We start from the raw sequence: 15,562 nt of genomic DNA, 5'->3' as shown, positions 1-15,562 counted from the left end.
TCATTATTACCAAGTGATCTCATTCTGTAAATATAAGACCTCAAATAATCTATGAAAAAATTACCAAATTAATTAAAGAGTTTAGTCATGCTGTCTTACACTAAATCAATATACAAATCCAACTAAGTTTATATACACCAGCAACACACATTAGAAAATGTAACTTTTGAGATTTAAAAAATCAAAGGAATTAAGAAGATGGCTGGGATACAGAGATAGAAATTTGATCAATGGAAGAGAAATGAAAGTTCCAAAAATACACTCATAGAAATGGGATACGTGACAGAATTGGAAATGCGAATCAGTGGGAAAGGAGGGGCTGTTCAATAAATGCTGCAGAGACATTTAGTTATTTATATAGGAAAAATAAAGAAATAAATATCCTGCTTCACAAAAAATGAATTTTAGATAGATCAAAGACTTAAATAGAATTTTTTTTAAAACTTTAATATACTTAATAATAAGGAAAATGTTTTATGACTTCAAGGCGGGGAAATATTTATTGAGGAAAGATTTTTAAGTGGCAATCATAAAAGAAAAGTTTGGTAAATTTGGCTATATTGAAATTAATAATTTATTTCAACAAAAAACTTATAAAGAGAGTAAAAAGACAACGAGATCTCAAAACAAGCAAAATAGTCCCCAGAATAAATAATTACATTTGCAGAAATATAATGATGGTATTGCATACACATATATATGTATGACTTTTTAAAATTATGGTAAAATATATATCACATAAAGTTTCTCATCTTAACCATTTTTAATCATCCCAGTTCAGTAATATTAAATACATTCATAGTGTTATGTAACCAATCTCTAGAATTCTTCTCATCTTGCAAAACTGAAACTCTATAACCCATTAAACAATTCTCCATTTCCCCTTCCCCCCAGTGCCTGGCAATCACCTTTCTACTTTCTATCTGTATGAATTTGACTACTTTAGGTACCTCATATGAGTAAAATTGTATAGTATTTGTGTTTTGGTGACTGGCTTATTTCACTCAGCATAATATACTCAAGGTTCATACATGAAGCATGTTTCATAATTTCCTTTCTTTAAAAAAGGCTGAATAATATTCCATTGTATGTATATGCCACATTTTTCAAATCCGTTCATCCATTGATGGACACTTGGGCTGCTTCCATCTTTTGGCTATTGTGAATAACGCTGCTATGAACATGTGTGTCCAAATATCTCTTCAAGAACTTGGTTTGAATTATTTTGGGCATATATCCAGAAGTGGAATTGCTGAATCATATGATAATTATATTTTTAATTTTTTGAGGAACTGCCATACTGTTCCCTATAGCAGCTGCCTAATTTTTTACATTCCCACCAACAGTGCACAAATCATCTAACTTCTTTAATTTGATTGACAACACTTGTTATTTTCCGGGATTTGTTTGTTTGTTTTTTGATAGTAGCCATCCTGATAGGCATGAGGTGATATCTCATTTTGTCTTTGATTTGCATTTCCCTAATGATTAGAGATGTTGAACATCTTTTCATATGCTTGTTGGTCATTTGTATAACTTCTCTAAAGAAATAGCTAATTAAGTTCTTTGCCCATTTTTTACCTGGATTGCTTTTTTGTTGCTGTCACATGAATGACTTTAAAATCTATAGAATTGAGCAAGATAAAAGATAAAATAGAAATGTATGCATTACAATTTTAATATAAAGTTTAAAGTAGCCCAATTTCAGTAATGTGTTGTTCTGAGATTACATTAACATGCAATAAATCTGTTTAAAAAAACAACAATAACAAACAAGGAAGTAACAGAATTCTTCTCTTGGTTACCTCTGGCAAGTGAGAGCGGAAAGTATGATTGAGAGGAGCACATCAGAGTTTCCATACTATTAACAGGGTCCTATTTCTTAATATTCACATTATTATTCTTTAATAATTCATATGTCTAATGTACAATTTATCACAAAAATAAAAACGAAATTTTAAAGGAAGAAAAGAAATGAGGGGGAAAGGCACTGGTGAATAGATTTGTGAATTCTTTGTTTAAAGCAAAAAATGTTTACAAAAAAATCTTATAACCAATGAAGTTGAGGTTATATAATAGATGTGTCTGTGTATACATACTGGTATGTGCAAGGTTCAGGCACACAAAATATACAATATAAATATAATTTGTGTCCAGACACAACAGGTGAGCCCACTTCAGCTTCAGTCTCTTTTGGGAGAGGTAAATATAGCATAACTTGTTTCTTTTCTGAGCCTTTATTTTTTCCATTTTTGCTTTTCATTTTTCTCTTCTAATCATAGCTGAGTAAAATGTCACAAATTTTAGTAAATGTTTTATTGTTATATCTATTGTTTTAATTAACTTACTCTAAAAATTATTGTTTTATTATTCTAAATATTATTGTTTAAATTAATAAATAGATGAAGGTGAAAAGAGCATCATAATAAAATTTTTTCATATCTACTTCACACAATCCTCACAAAAACTGTAATGTACGTTTAGCCAGTACTTTCCCATTTTTATGCAGAAACTCGTGAATGGAGTGCTCGAGAACACACATTTACAAAGTAGAGGCATAAGTATTAAACTTTTTATTTCTACACTAAATTACTCTTTCCACTTTAGTTATAATACTTTCCATATTTCAAAGCAAATTCTCAAAGTTTAGTGGTAAACACAGGCTAACAGAGAAACCTGAAGATAGGTTTATCTGACCCTGACCAGAACTCCTTTATTCATAGTATCTCTGTCAGGGAAAAGAACAAAATACTTACAGCATACAGCAAGTATGTATTATTGCCTCCTAATATTTAGAAAATTTCAGTGATGGTGATTTCTTTATAGTCTTGGACAAGTCCATGTAACCACCGTGCTGAAAACTACATATGTTTCTGAAGCTCTAGACTTATCTGCCTCACAGTTTTGTTCTAGGAATCATACATAGTGTTGGAGTTCTGATTTTTAAGATTTTTTTCCAATTTAGTAGGATGTATTTTATTTAATCTCAGTTATTATGCCATTATTATAAACTTTTATAATAATGTTTTCTGAAAGTAAAGATTTTGTTCAATTTTGTTTAAATTCCTAAAGAAACTAATTGTGTTTCTAATAAAAGTATTCGTTACAGTGAAAGGATCTACTTAATGCATTCAGAAAGTTTATTAATAGTCAAAATGCAAATATTTCAACTCATCCCTAGCAAATTCTATCAAAACTTTAAGGAACAGAGGTTTGATACTATTTTAAATATTTCAGATGATAGAGAAAGAAAGAAAAATTCTAAAATCTGCATAACAAAGAGTATGAAAAAAGAAAACTACAGTTCAAACACCATATCACTCCAAAACTTTTAAATAACATATTAGCAAATAGAACTCACCTGCCTATTAAAGGAATAATATTGTATAATAAAGGGGAATTAATTTCAGGGATAATAGAAAGATTTAATTTTAAGAAATCTATTAATATCATTTCCTTAATATTGGGTCAAAAGGAAAAATTTGAGTCATCTTCACCCAGGTCAAAAAGGCATTTGATAATCTGCCAACCATTACTGTTTTTTAAATGTTATTATAATAGGTCTTGCAGGAAATATTCTTGACCTTATGTTTAGCTATGTATCAAAATGAAAAGGCCATCATAACACTAAAATTCTGAAAACATTGTTATGAAATTCAGAAAAAGACGAAGGTCTCATTGCTGTGACATAGGTGACATGCAGGTCTTGGCCGCTTGTTTGGCCAGGCCTGACCTCAAAAGAACTATTTCCATAGTCTAATGGATCACTACCGCACCTGCGCAACCTCATGACTCTGTGGGTCAGATCATAACAAGTTGCATCATGACCTGATATCCCATGGGCCAGCGCACTCTCTGCTAGAGCCCAGCAGTGCGCCAAGAGTTGCTTTTTAAGTGTCCAACAGGCTCTGCTTGCAATGCCTCAGAAGGCATAGCCTTGCTCCAGAACCTTACTGAGCTGCTCTGCAAATCTCTTGTCTGGAAATGCCAGAGATTTCTCTATCCATTCTACTGACTACCTACAACCTGGTATGTGCATGTTGAAATCTAGAAAATTTTTTGAAAAAAAGTGATCAAAACTTATCCAAGTAAAAAACAACTAATATCATGAAAGAAAAGGAAGCAGTAGTCAAAAGTCATCTTCCAAAAAATGGCAAGTCCTGCTTCAATTAAAATTATTAAGTAGTCTATTTGTTTCAATGGTTTTCTAACTCTTCTTTTGGTATTCCTTTCTTTGCTTTTGGTCTCTTTATCAAGGCATCCACCCTTATACTCTCTATTTGCTCTCTTCTCCCATGTTTGCCTCATTTAGTCACTATCCCATTCTCCAAAATTACTCTCATACTTTCTTTTCAAAGTTTCAGGATGTTCACTTACGACTTGCAACATGTTCAACTGTGACACATGTACCAGCTGAAATTTGAGTCTGCCTCACACTCCCATGGGCATTCCAAGCATGAGAGCTACAACTCTTTCCTCTTCTCTCAAGAAACTATTTCAGGATGCAGAAGATGAAAAGGGATATTGGCCTAAAACATGAATTATCTCTAATTTTAAAGTATAATTATTACTAGCATTAGTAGCAGTATCACCAGTAACAAAGCTGTCACATACCTCTCAACTGGTGTAGTATGTCAGTTTGTGAAGGCAGTGCTGTTAATAGTGGTAAATTAGAGGAAGTAATTTTGATTAGGTCAATTCACCCTAAGGCCAAAATTACTGACACTCTTTCTGAGAAAACCTAAACTTTTCTTAAACCATTTTTATTTCTAAAGATTGAGTTGCAAATTTGAGTAGTTCCATGCAAAATGAATATACACTTTTGTTTATTTATATTTATGTGTCATACTCTTATCTCCCAATTTTAGACCATAATTTAATGTTAGATGGAAAAATAGTCAATTTTTTATTGGGACTGGTCATTTCGATTTGTCTCTAGGACCGTGGGAAGGAAATCAGTTTTTCCAGATGATGATTCATTTCCTTCTGCAGAACTCAAAAATAGCTGAGTGTTAGATAAAGATTGAAGGAGTTAAAGTAAATATTATACTCCAATGTCCTAAATATAAATATATACTAAAACACAAATAGAATCCTCTAATTAGGAAAAAGGAAGAGGAGAAAGAGAAGGAGGAGGGAAAGAAGGAAGGAAGGGAGAAAGTAAGGGAGGAAGGAGGGAAGGAAGAAAAGAAGGAAGGAAGAAAGGAAAGAAGGAAGGAAGGAAGGGTGATTTTATGGCAAGATATTGTGTCTCTAAGAAAACTATCAGCCCCTGGAGGAGGTCAGAAACTTGGATTTATATGACATTGCTTTTAAGTCTTCTGCAGTAATGGGTACATGGTAAATATTCAATAAATATATGTTGGTTGTTAGAAATAATTAGCCTGACAATATACAAGATATAAAGAAAATCTTTTTATTTTAGTTTGGAGGAATCAACCTATATAAGAAGAAAAAAATGTTTTGAAGCTATGACAAAGAAACAAAATGTACTTCTTACAAAATTCCATAAGCTATACAACAAAATATCATGTTCTTCCCATGAGATGATTTCACTTGATGTTGTATGTGCATCAGCACATTGTTATTCTGCCAAACTTACACAACTCATAGGTCAAACTATAAAGAGAAGACCTCCAGGAGCCAGAATAATTGATAAAAAGGAATGGTATTTGTGAGTCAGAGCATTGTCCTCTCTTTTCACTGATTATTTAACCTCTTGCCATGCATTACTTCCAAAATTAAGTGCCTGTAGAATTTATTGTACTTAAAATAGGTTTAAAAATGTAATGGGGAGTAAAGTAATGATCTCACAATTACTGATTTAGTCATCTCAATGGCTCTAAAATTCAAAGATTGTCCTTAAGAGGAGACTCAGAAAAATTGAGATGTATAAAGAATGTAGTTGACCAAGTTACATCAATGAAAATTTTTTTCATGTCTTTAGCTCTTAAATTAAGTATTATTCTTTCTGAAAAACCAGTTCAAAGAAATAAATTTGCAATGCAGCCACAGATAATTCATTCAATAAACATGTATGAATGCATCTTATGTGACAGGCATAGATACTAAGAAAAAGCAAAAATAGGGAGAAAAGACCCCTTCTCTCTGTAGAAAAGAATGGAGAGAAATGAATGGATTCTTTTATTCCACAAATACATATGAACATTTGCTATGTACTAAATTTATGATAGTTTCTGGGGATAAAGAAATAAAGAAGACAGATACAGACCCTGCCTAAAACTGCTCACACTCTAGTGGAGATTTAGAATATAAAGAAGTGATTACAGTATTAACAAACTTTAAGGCACAGGTATAAACAGGATGCTATAAAAAACAGCTGATTATTGAAACAGATACATTGCAATTCAAAATTAAGTAAAATAGAGATATGAATACGTGGTATGAGAGCATAAAGGGTTTCAAAATGCTGCCTGAAGATGTTAGAAAAGGCTTCCCTAAGAATGCAGCATTTGAGCTGGTGATGTGGTTAGGCTTTGTGTTCCCACCCAAATCTCATCGTGAATTGTAATGCCTGGGTGTTGAGGGAGAGACCTGGTGGGAAGTGACTGGATTATGGGGGTGGTTTCCCCCGTGCTGTTTTCATGATAGTGAGTGAATTCTCATGAGATCTGATGATTTTATAAATGGCAGTTTTTCCTGCACCCTCACACACGCTCTCTCTCTCTCCTACCACCATGTGAGAAAGGTCTTTGCTTCCCCTTTTATTTCCACCATGATTATAAGTTTCCTGAGGTCTCCCCAACCACGTGGAACTGTGAGCCAATTAAACTTCTTTTCTTTATAAATTACCCAGTGTTGTAATTATGTCTTTACAGCAGTGTGAGAATGGACTAATACAGCTGGAAATGGAAAAGTTGAGCAGAATATGTCTGATGAAAAAGTGCAGGTCGTAGTGGCAGAGGGAACATAGCAGAGGCCATAAATTTGTCAACACACCTGGCTTGGCCAAAAAACACCAAGACTTTTCTTGAGAAGAGCAGTAGGGTACATATCAAGGAATAGGATCATGACAGCATAATGAGAAATTCACTAGAGAATGTGAAAGACAATCTGGAGTAAGCCAAAAAAATTACATGTTTTCCTGAAGACAAGATACCAGAAAAACTTTTTAAGCAGAAGAATGTGATTAATTTTCTCTCTTTCTCTTTCTCTTTCTCTTTCTCTCTCTCTCTGTCGTGCATGTGTGCTCTCTCTCCCCTTTCCCTCTCTCCTCTTCTTCCTTTCTTCAAAATGAACTTACACTGCCATGAAGAAAGTGACCTGGACTAAAAAGAGACACTAATGAAGAATATCCAGTTAGGAAATAGTTGCTGAAGCTCAATTGAGCAACTATAAGCAATCTAGAAGAAAGCAGTGACAGTGGAAATGAAGAAATGGACAAAATTGAAAACCATTTCTTAGATAGAACTCATAGTGTTTAGTTACTAGATGGGTGAGTTTATATCATCCCTCTAGGATGGGAGGAGGATGGAATAACGGGGGCAAGTCATGCAACATAGAAGTCAGGAAGGCCCAGAAGATTTTCAGCTAGAAGCCTAGGCAACATCATTGACTTGGACAATTCAGGAGACAGAGTAGTTTTAGGAGCAAGAAAACTTAAATTCCAGGTATAGTCAGAGATTTCTTCAATTAAATAAATGAAAGAGGACATTTTAAATGGTTGATCGTCCAGTGCATGATGCAGTGAACAGAAAGTTCTTTCTTGCTCTAAGAGTGAAAGTGGTGTACACGTAAGCCTACAGTAAGAGAGTGAGGACGATGAAGGAGTTACTGCTTTCTCTGATAAGAAGAGGCATTGTTATCTGCTGAGTTTAGGGTGAGGTCAGGCTGAGGTTAAGGAAAGTAAATAGGTTTGGATTGGATTGGAGAGACTAATCAGAAGGAAAATTTACAAAATACAAGTGAAAGGTTTTCCATGGAGCTAAAGTCAAGATAAGATTAGAAATCTTAAATTTATAATTCCATGATGTTCTACTCTCTAAAAGCAAGATAGGAGAAAGCAAACAAGTTACTCTCAAAGGTGGAATTCAGTTCCTCGATAAAAAGCCACAGTTGGAAAGGGAGTTTGTAAAATTTTGGCATGAGCTACTAATACACAATAATATATGTACTAATATGTTTGAGAGTCAGAAATGTGTTTGATTTGATTGAACACATACGTATGAAAGATAACTGAGGTGCATTCTTGGCTGGAAGGAACCAGACAGATTAAATGAGCTATAGTGGTCATTAAAATATCATTAGTAACAGGTAGCAAACTGCTGTACTAGATCATCTTGTGCTGTTTTAGCCAGTCCAAAGTTACCTCAGTATATTTCTTTAAAGATACAAAGCAGCTTATGGTCTAATAGTTCATTATGTTTAAACCATTCTTTACTTTTCAACTGCAATGATAGTCTTAAAGAGGGTTCTGTTTTTAGTCATTCTTTAAATAAAAACACATAGAAGATTTTTATGGTGAACATGATTAGAAATCTAATGTACAACATAAGAACTGAAGATACTAAACTTGTATTAAGGATTTTTGTTAAATAATTAGGTTTTAGCTGCTTTATTTCTTTATTAAAAAAACTTCACTATGTGAGATTATAGATATGTTGATCTGCTTCGCTATAGTAGTAGCCATTTTACTACCAATATGTATCCCATAATAATTGTAAACCTCAAATATACACAATAAAATGTATTTTTAAAAATACATTCTGATTATGACTTCTGATTGAATGTAGCCAAAATTTTGTTACTCTTGATTCTTAATCAGCACCCTGAGTCGTAGCTAATATGATGTGTTCTTGCTGATCTTTGACCTCTTTGCTGACCTGGCTCCAATGAATATTAAATACAGATGGAAAATCTGTAATGAATAGCAGAACACACAGGCAGCTATTTTATTCCTTTGCCCTTTGACTCTTAAGGCCGAGAGAAGTGCCAACATAAATGTAGCAGAGCACAAATATTCACTGTTTGATATGCGCAGGCTTATCTTGTTAGCTATGTGTGACCTTTTTCTGAATGGCACAAAAGGAATTGCTTGAATTACTAGGGCAAAATATTCATGCTCAAGCTTGTCTAAGCACACGGATCTTCTTACATCATAAAAAATTATGTTTAGTTTTCTTTTGAAAGAGGATTCTCTCCTTTAAAAGGTGAAAAAAAAAATGTTCTGCCAACAAGAAGATTTCAGGTAATAATGCTCAAACCTGGAGGCCTAAAGTGGAGTTGCATAATACAGATATCGTATGAGATTTAACTTAATGAATCTATCTTTGCAGTCACCCAGATTCCAGATCACCTCTGTCTTGACTGTATGCTCTGTCTTACCTCAAATTTATACATAGAGTTTAGGGTTTAAAGTTAAAGGTTTTAAGATTTAAAGATTCATAGATTTTTAGAGGAGCTTTGTTTCAACCTTTAATGCCATACACATAATTTTACTATTCTTTTCTTGACTATTCTAGATGTTACTACAACTATCTTGGACTCACCTAGTACAAAAATACCATCTTTTATACTTACCTGGTAATTTTGGGACTTTAGAACACATTAATTCCATTTATTTTAGTAATACATAGAATTATTTTTCCCAATTCTTTATTTCTTCCCTGTGGTAGAACCATCCATAACCTTTGCCACATGGTATGGGAGTACCTCCATTAGAGCAAGTAGAATATATTTTCTAGCTTTATTGATATACAGCTGAGTCAAGCAAGCAACTTGCTTTGGCCAGTGGACATAATGTGAGCAGAAATTTTAAATGAGCCTGTGTGGTTTGGCTTTGCGTTGGTCAGGGTTATCTAGAGAAGTAGAATCAATAGGATTTATATAGATATAAAAAGTATATTTCTCATGGGAATTGCCTCACATAATTCTAAAGGCCAAGAAGTCTTGCCGTCTGCTGTCTGCAAGCTGGAGAACCAGGAAAGCTGGTGGTGTAACCCCCAGTCTGAGGCCAAGACCTGAGAAATGGGAGGGGGAAGAGAGAGGTACCTGTGTATGTTCTACAGTTTGATTGCCTGAGAACCAGGAGCTCTCAGATGTCCAAATACTAGAAAAGGCAAATACCCCAGCTCAAAAAAACAGTGAGCACACTTGCCCTTCCTCCTCCTTTTTTTTTTTTTCTATTAGGGTTTTCAGTTGATTGGCTGCTGCTCACCCACATTGGCTAGGGTGGATCTTCTTTACCCATTCTATTGGTCCAAATACTAATCTCTTCCAGAAACACTCTCACAGGTATACCAAAAAGTAATATTTTACCAGTTATATGGGCATCCCTTAGTCTAGTTTAGTTGACAGATAAAATTAACTACCACCAGCTTCTATACTTGCAATCCTGCTATTGTCATAACAACAGAATACCCCCAAGAAGACCACGGTCCAAATATAAGACATGTAGTGTATACTTGAAATCAAACTATAGCATCCAGCCAAGCCCAAATAAACTGAGACAAGGTTCGCCTCACCCACAAACCCATGAGTGTGACATATATATATATTTGAATATTTCTCCCTTGATATCCATGAGGGATTTGTTCCAGGACCCTCTATGGATACCAAAAGCCACAGATGCTCAAGTCCCACAGTTGTCCCTGTAGAACCAACACATAAAAGTCAGCCCTCTGTCAACCTTCAAAATTCATAGGTTCTGCATCCTGTGAACACTATATTTTTGATTTGTGGTTTAATCTTTGGATGCAGAACCCACAGATACAGAGGGCCAACTGTATATGTGATTATGAGCCACTAAGATTTGAGTTTGTTATGTAGTGTTATTATAATGATAGATGATTAGTAAATGCAAATATCAAAGTAAAATAGAAAAGGCTAATGGTGGGATTTGAGAGAGGAAATGAAGTTAACTCTCAGGGACTAAAACTAAGAGAAATGAAGATGAAGTTTTTCGTGGCTGAAGGTGAAATTCTCTCCAAGGGAAGAGTGTCATGAGCACTCGAGGGCAGAGAATTGGCCCCAACATAGAACCCCAGCTCCAAAGAAAAAGAAAACTTTGCCTCAGGAAGTGTGGAAGTCAGATTCTAGATTCATTGTGCCCACCTGGTGCCTGGAGCATGGAATCTGTTCCAAGATATGGTGGAGGTAATGACAACATTTACATCAGTGAGATCAAAATAGCAGCTGTGGAGGATCTACCACAGTGTGAAATGGAATTGGCAGCAGCAGGACCACCAGCTAAGACTTTTATTATAAAAGATAAAGATCAAGGTCTAGAAAGATTCTCTTGGCTCCTGCCATGCATGGCAGCATTGACAATTTAATTTGAGGTTATGGACTTGGAATAGTGTCTATGTGGGCTAATGACAATAGATTTCCCTTATGTTGTCTGAGTCTAACAATCCTAATACAAGGTAAGTAGATAAATTCTGTCACAAATTTAGACACAAGGGCTGCCAAGCATTCATTTCATTTAATTGACTCGATAAAATTAGACAAAGGCATAACAAATTGGTTGGGAGGGCAAACTCTAAATCAGATTTTCAAGATTTAAATACTGTTCTGCCATTCACTAGCCCTATGACCTTAGTTGCTAATTTTCTCTGTGCCTCAATTTCCTCCTCTATAAACTGCAAATAATTATAGTAACTTCCTCATGGAGTCAATATAATTGTTAAATCAGTTAGCACATGCATAAGACTTAGATCAATTTTGGCACTATGTAAAAATTAAATAAATTATTATTATCTGCTTTACCAAAGAGAGTTTATGAGATCTGTTTTCCTAAATTGAGAAGACCATAATGAAAGTAACAAGGCAGTAAGAACAAGGAGTAGATGTGGTTCTGTGATAAATTATCAATACTTTTGCCTTTGTGTGTGTTTGCATGAGTATGGGGGGTTGTGAGGAGAATATCTATCTTCTTTTCTTCTCCTGCCTGCAGCCCGGGAAAGGAGTAGACAAGAATGCCAAATCTCACATTGTGTGAGAAAGAGATAGATGATAGAATTACCTTGGTAATGCCTTGGCTTCTTAATGGGTGGCATGTTTTGCCTTTCCCTTTATTCTAACTTTGGGGGTTGGCTACTCTTATTAAACAGTTCAGATTTAATACATTCATTCTGGAATAAACATTACTAAATTTGGAAGGAGAGCAGTTTGAAACCAGTGGGAAGTACCAGAGAAAACTGAAAAATCCAGATTACCAGTGTTTGCTACAAAAGGACAAGAAAAAGAAAAGTACAAAACCAATGTTACTTCATGACATAATACTGATGTGTAATTATTTCTAATTGTATGCATGCTTAATCAAATACTCATGAGCAAAATGAGTTTCTATTAAGTATTTTAAAGGCATAAATAGACGAAAAATTTGTAACCAAGATCAAGTCTTGCAAGGAGCTAGGGAGTACCTGAGAGCTCCTAAGAACCAAAAACTGAAGGTAAACTAAATGTAAGCGGAAATGAGCAAATACATTATAACATTAAATGGAGTATGATGCGCCATTAAAATGATGCTGTAAATCTATGCTTTTTGAAATCTAAATATGTTTATGTATATGTATATGTTTAGAAGTTCTATGATTAAAGCAGTTGTAAAGTAGTTTTACAGTATTAAAGACTTTTAATTATTTAAATTAAAAGGAGAGAGCAAGAATGTATATGTCTTTATGTGTGTGTATGTCTATTAAAAATTTCAGAAATATACATCAGAGTGTTAATACTGGTCATTTTTGTATGATAGGATTAACAATAGTATTTTAAAATTGTTTATTTTTGTCATTATCTAATATTTTAAAAACATATGTTTATTATGTATTTGGGTGTAAAACCCATGAGGACATTTCAATTTTTTTAAGTTTGATTTAAAAAAATAAGCTTACCTATAACATTTAAATCTGCTTCTGAATTTGTTTGGATCATTCCTGAACAACAGTTGAAATAAGACCTATATAGATGACAAAGATTAGGGGGTAGAGTTTGTCATTGGCTTTTTAAATGTGCAAACTTGAATCAAATTAGACTTCTAGGAAAGATTATGATATGACTGCATGTTTACATAGCACACTAAACAAAATAATAAGAGCAACAGAAAATAATAAAGGAATCTTCATTCATAAGTAAATTAGTAAATCACCAAAATCCCTTACTAAAGAATCTGAAACATATTTACCAATTACAATAATACTTCCTCAAAATAAAAGGAAGGGGCTCAGCTTTGGCATATAGCTTCCCTAATTAAGAGTAAGATGCTGTTTGGGAAGAAAGTAAGGAATACTCCTAAAAATTCTTTACTTGGAGATAGGATCTTTTGCAATTTGAATGAGTTTCAGGAGTAATGTGGGTCACCATTTTGGATTTCTTAGACCATCAGCTCGGTGAGGTCAGGAACCATAATGTTTTTGTTAACAACTTTATCCCCAGTTTCTGGTACATAGTAAAGGCTGAATAAATATTTGTTGAATAAATGCCTGGAGTTGTTTCCCCTCCCACATAATGGCAAAAGTGGAAGGAGAAATGAAATGGCCATGTCATTTTAATTTAACCCAATCTAGTTTCACAACTAGTAAGAAACAACTGCTCAGCCACAAAGCAAAGTTAGCCAAACAGACATAAGTAAATATTTATCCATAAAACAAAACTATGAACCTAAGAGCACAACACTGATATGGGAACCTGCCAGGATGACCTGAACTAATCCCTCTAAAATGAAGGAGCAGCCAAACTCTGGGAGAGTTAAGGTTTGAAATTACTAAATCTCATGCTTTTAATCATTGTGTTAGGCTGCAATATTTTCTAAAGAAGACGAATTAATCTTCCCAATGACTAAATTACAATAACATACTTGTTGAAGGTAACATTTTACTAAAATACTGTTTTGCTCTTCTAAATGGCCCCAAATTAATCAGAATAACTTTTCTGATGCAAAATCCACAGGTTTAATAAAAAATTGGTGATACAGGTTACCTCTTAAGAGACCGTGAAATAGCTACTTGAGACAGTCAGGAAGTCAGTGTGGAACATTATAAAGATCTGAACCCAACTGTGTCTTATGCATTAAGCAGTCACAGAGTTCCACTGGGATTTAGAATGGACTCCGGATCTGATGACCTTGCCTTCCAAGAATATTTTTCCACATCTTAAATTCTATACTTGTTGTCAAGATCCAAGCTCATCAAAATTCATGACTCATTTAACAATAAAATCAATTCATTTGTCTTTATTTTATTACCTTATCTGTGTGGGAAAACTAAATTAGAGTCTTGTGTCAGCCAAGATCTTCAAGCAGAAGCCTATTTGATACGGACGTAGGGGATAAATAATAGTAGGTCTGGCCTACCTGTTAAACAACCAAAAATTACTCTAATGTAAGAAAGTTACATTGATTAGATTACTAAGATAACACTTACTAAGATTAGATTACTAAGACAACACATTACTAAGAAGTGAAAGGCTTGGAGCCATCATTCTACTTTGACAAAGGCTAGGGACAAAGGCTGTTCTGGGTCTTTGGCATCAGAAAGAAGCTCTTGGATGTTCTCTGAAGTATCAATATTAGCTATCCTAGCTTCAATTACCTTCATTCTCCATGTGGCTCTCTTCTAGTTTCAAATTTCCAAGAAAGAGAATTGGGTTGGTCCAACTTAAATTAGACATCTTTATCCTTGGTAAATCACCCTGGCAAGAGTTTCTTTGAGGCAGGAGGTGGTAGTGGCACAAACATAGCTATAGGGTAGAACTGTGAGCTGAGTCATTGCTCCAGTACATATTACTGCAGGGGGATGACCACGTGGTCAGTGCATGTGTTTGTGGGGGTAGAAGGAGATAGTGTTAAATTATTCTTGGAACGTGGCTTAACCACTGTTGGGTTTGCTCTATGACAAAATCAAGTGGCATAGTCATATCTGACTGATATGAATCAGCAAAATGGAAATGGGGCGAATTCTGCAGCCTTGACCTATGACTAGGTTTCAGTATTAGAGTTCTTTCCACCCTCTTTAAGCTCGTGTTGATAGAAACAGCCATCATATTTTCTTTGCTTCACATTTCTCAGGGTTACTTCATAAGAAGTGAGAGCTGATTTCCCATTGACTCATGCATTTCCATATTTAGCTCATTAGGTGCAGGAAGTCTACATCTTGTTGGTTCAATGTTTTCATTAGGAATTAGAAATTTTCAGCAATTACTTGCTGGACAATGCACAATCATATCTATATCTTTTACTCAAAATGGTATCTTCTGAACTTACATTCCAACATCTTGTAATTTTCAAATCTTTCCCATTTGTAAGGTGAAATGATCATAGTAATATACTTGTAAAACTTCCCTTATACATGAATATCAGAAAATATATGTGGCAAAGTGTTTTAGTTATCTATTGATTCATAATATTTTATTTCAGAATTGTCTCAAAAAACTCACACATTTATTATCTCATTCCATTTATTATCTCACTCTGTGGATCAGGAATGCAAGTACGCTTACATGAGGTTGTAGCGATGGTGTCAACTGACACTATGGTCGCATTTGAAGGCTCAGCTGAGAGGGGAAATATTTCCTAGCTCCCTCACATGGTTGTTGATAGGATTCA

General features: G+C 34.4%; 1 annotated feature.

Annotated features, from left to right (window-relative positions):
- Positions 6,872-7,072: a silencer, noted in NCBI's record as "peak1869 fragment used in MPRA reporter construct". NCBI's record gives its function as "represses an SCP1 promoter by STARR-seq MPRAs in K562 erythroleukemia cells {active_cell/tissue: K562}" and the evidence as "EXISTENCE:reporter gene assay evidence [ECO:0000049][PMID:32103011]".

Source organism: Homo sapiens, chromosome 12 (genome assembly GCF_000001405.40).
Source record: "Homo sapiens chromosome 12, GRCh38.p14 Primary Assembly".
In the NCBI taxonomy this organism is placed as follows: Eukaryota; Metazoa; Chordata; class Mammalia; order Primates; family Hominidae; genus Homo; species Homo sapiens.
Note: the sequence above shows the minus strand (reverse complement) of the source record. Positions and strands in the feature narration are given on the sequence as shown.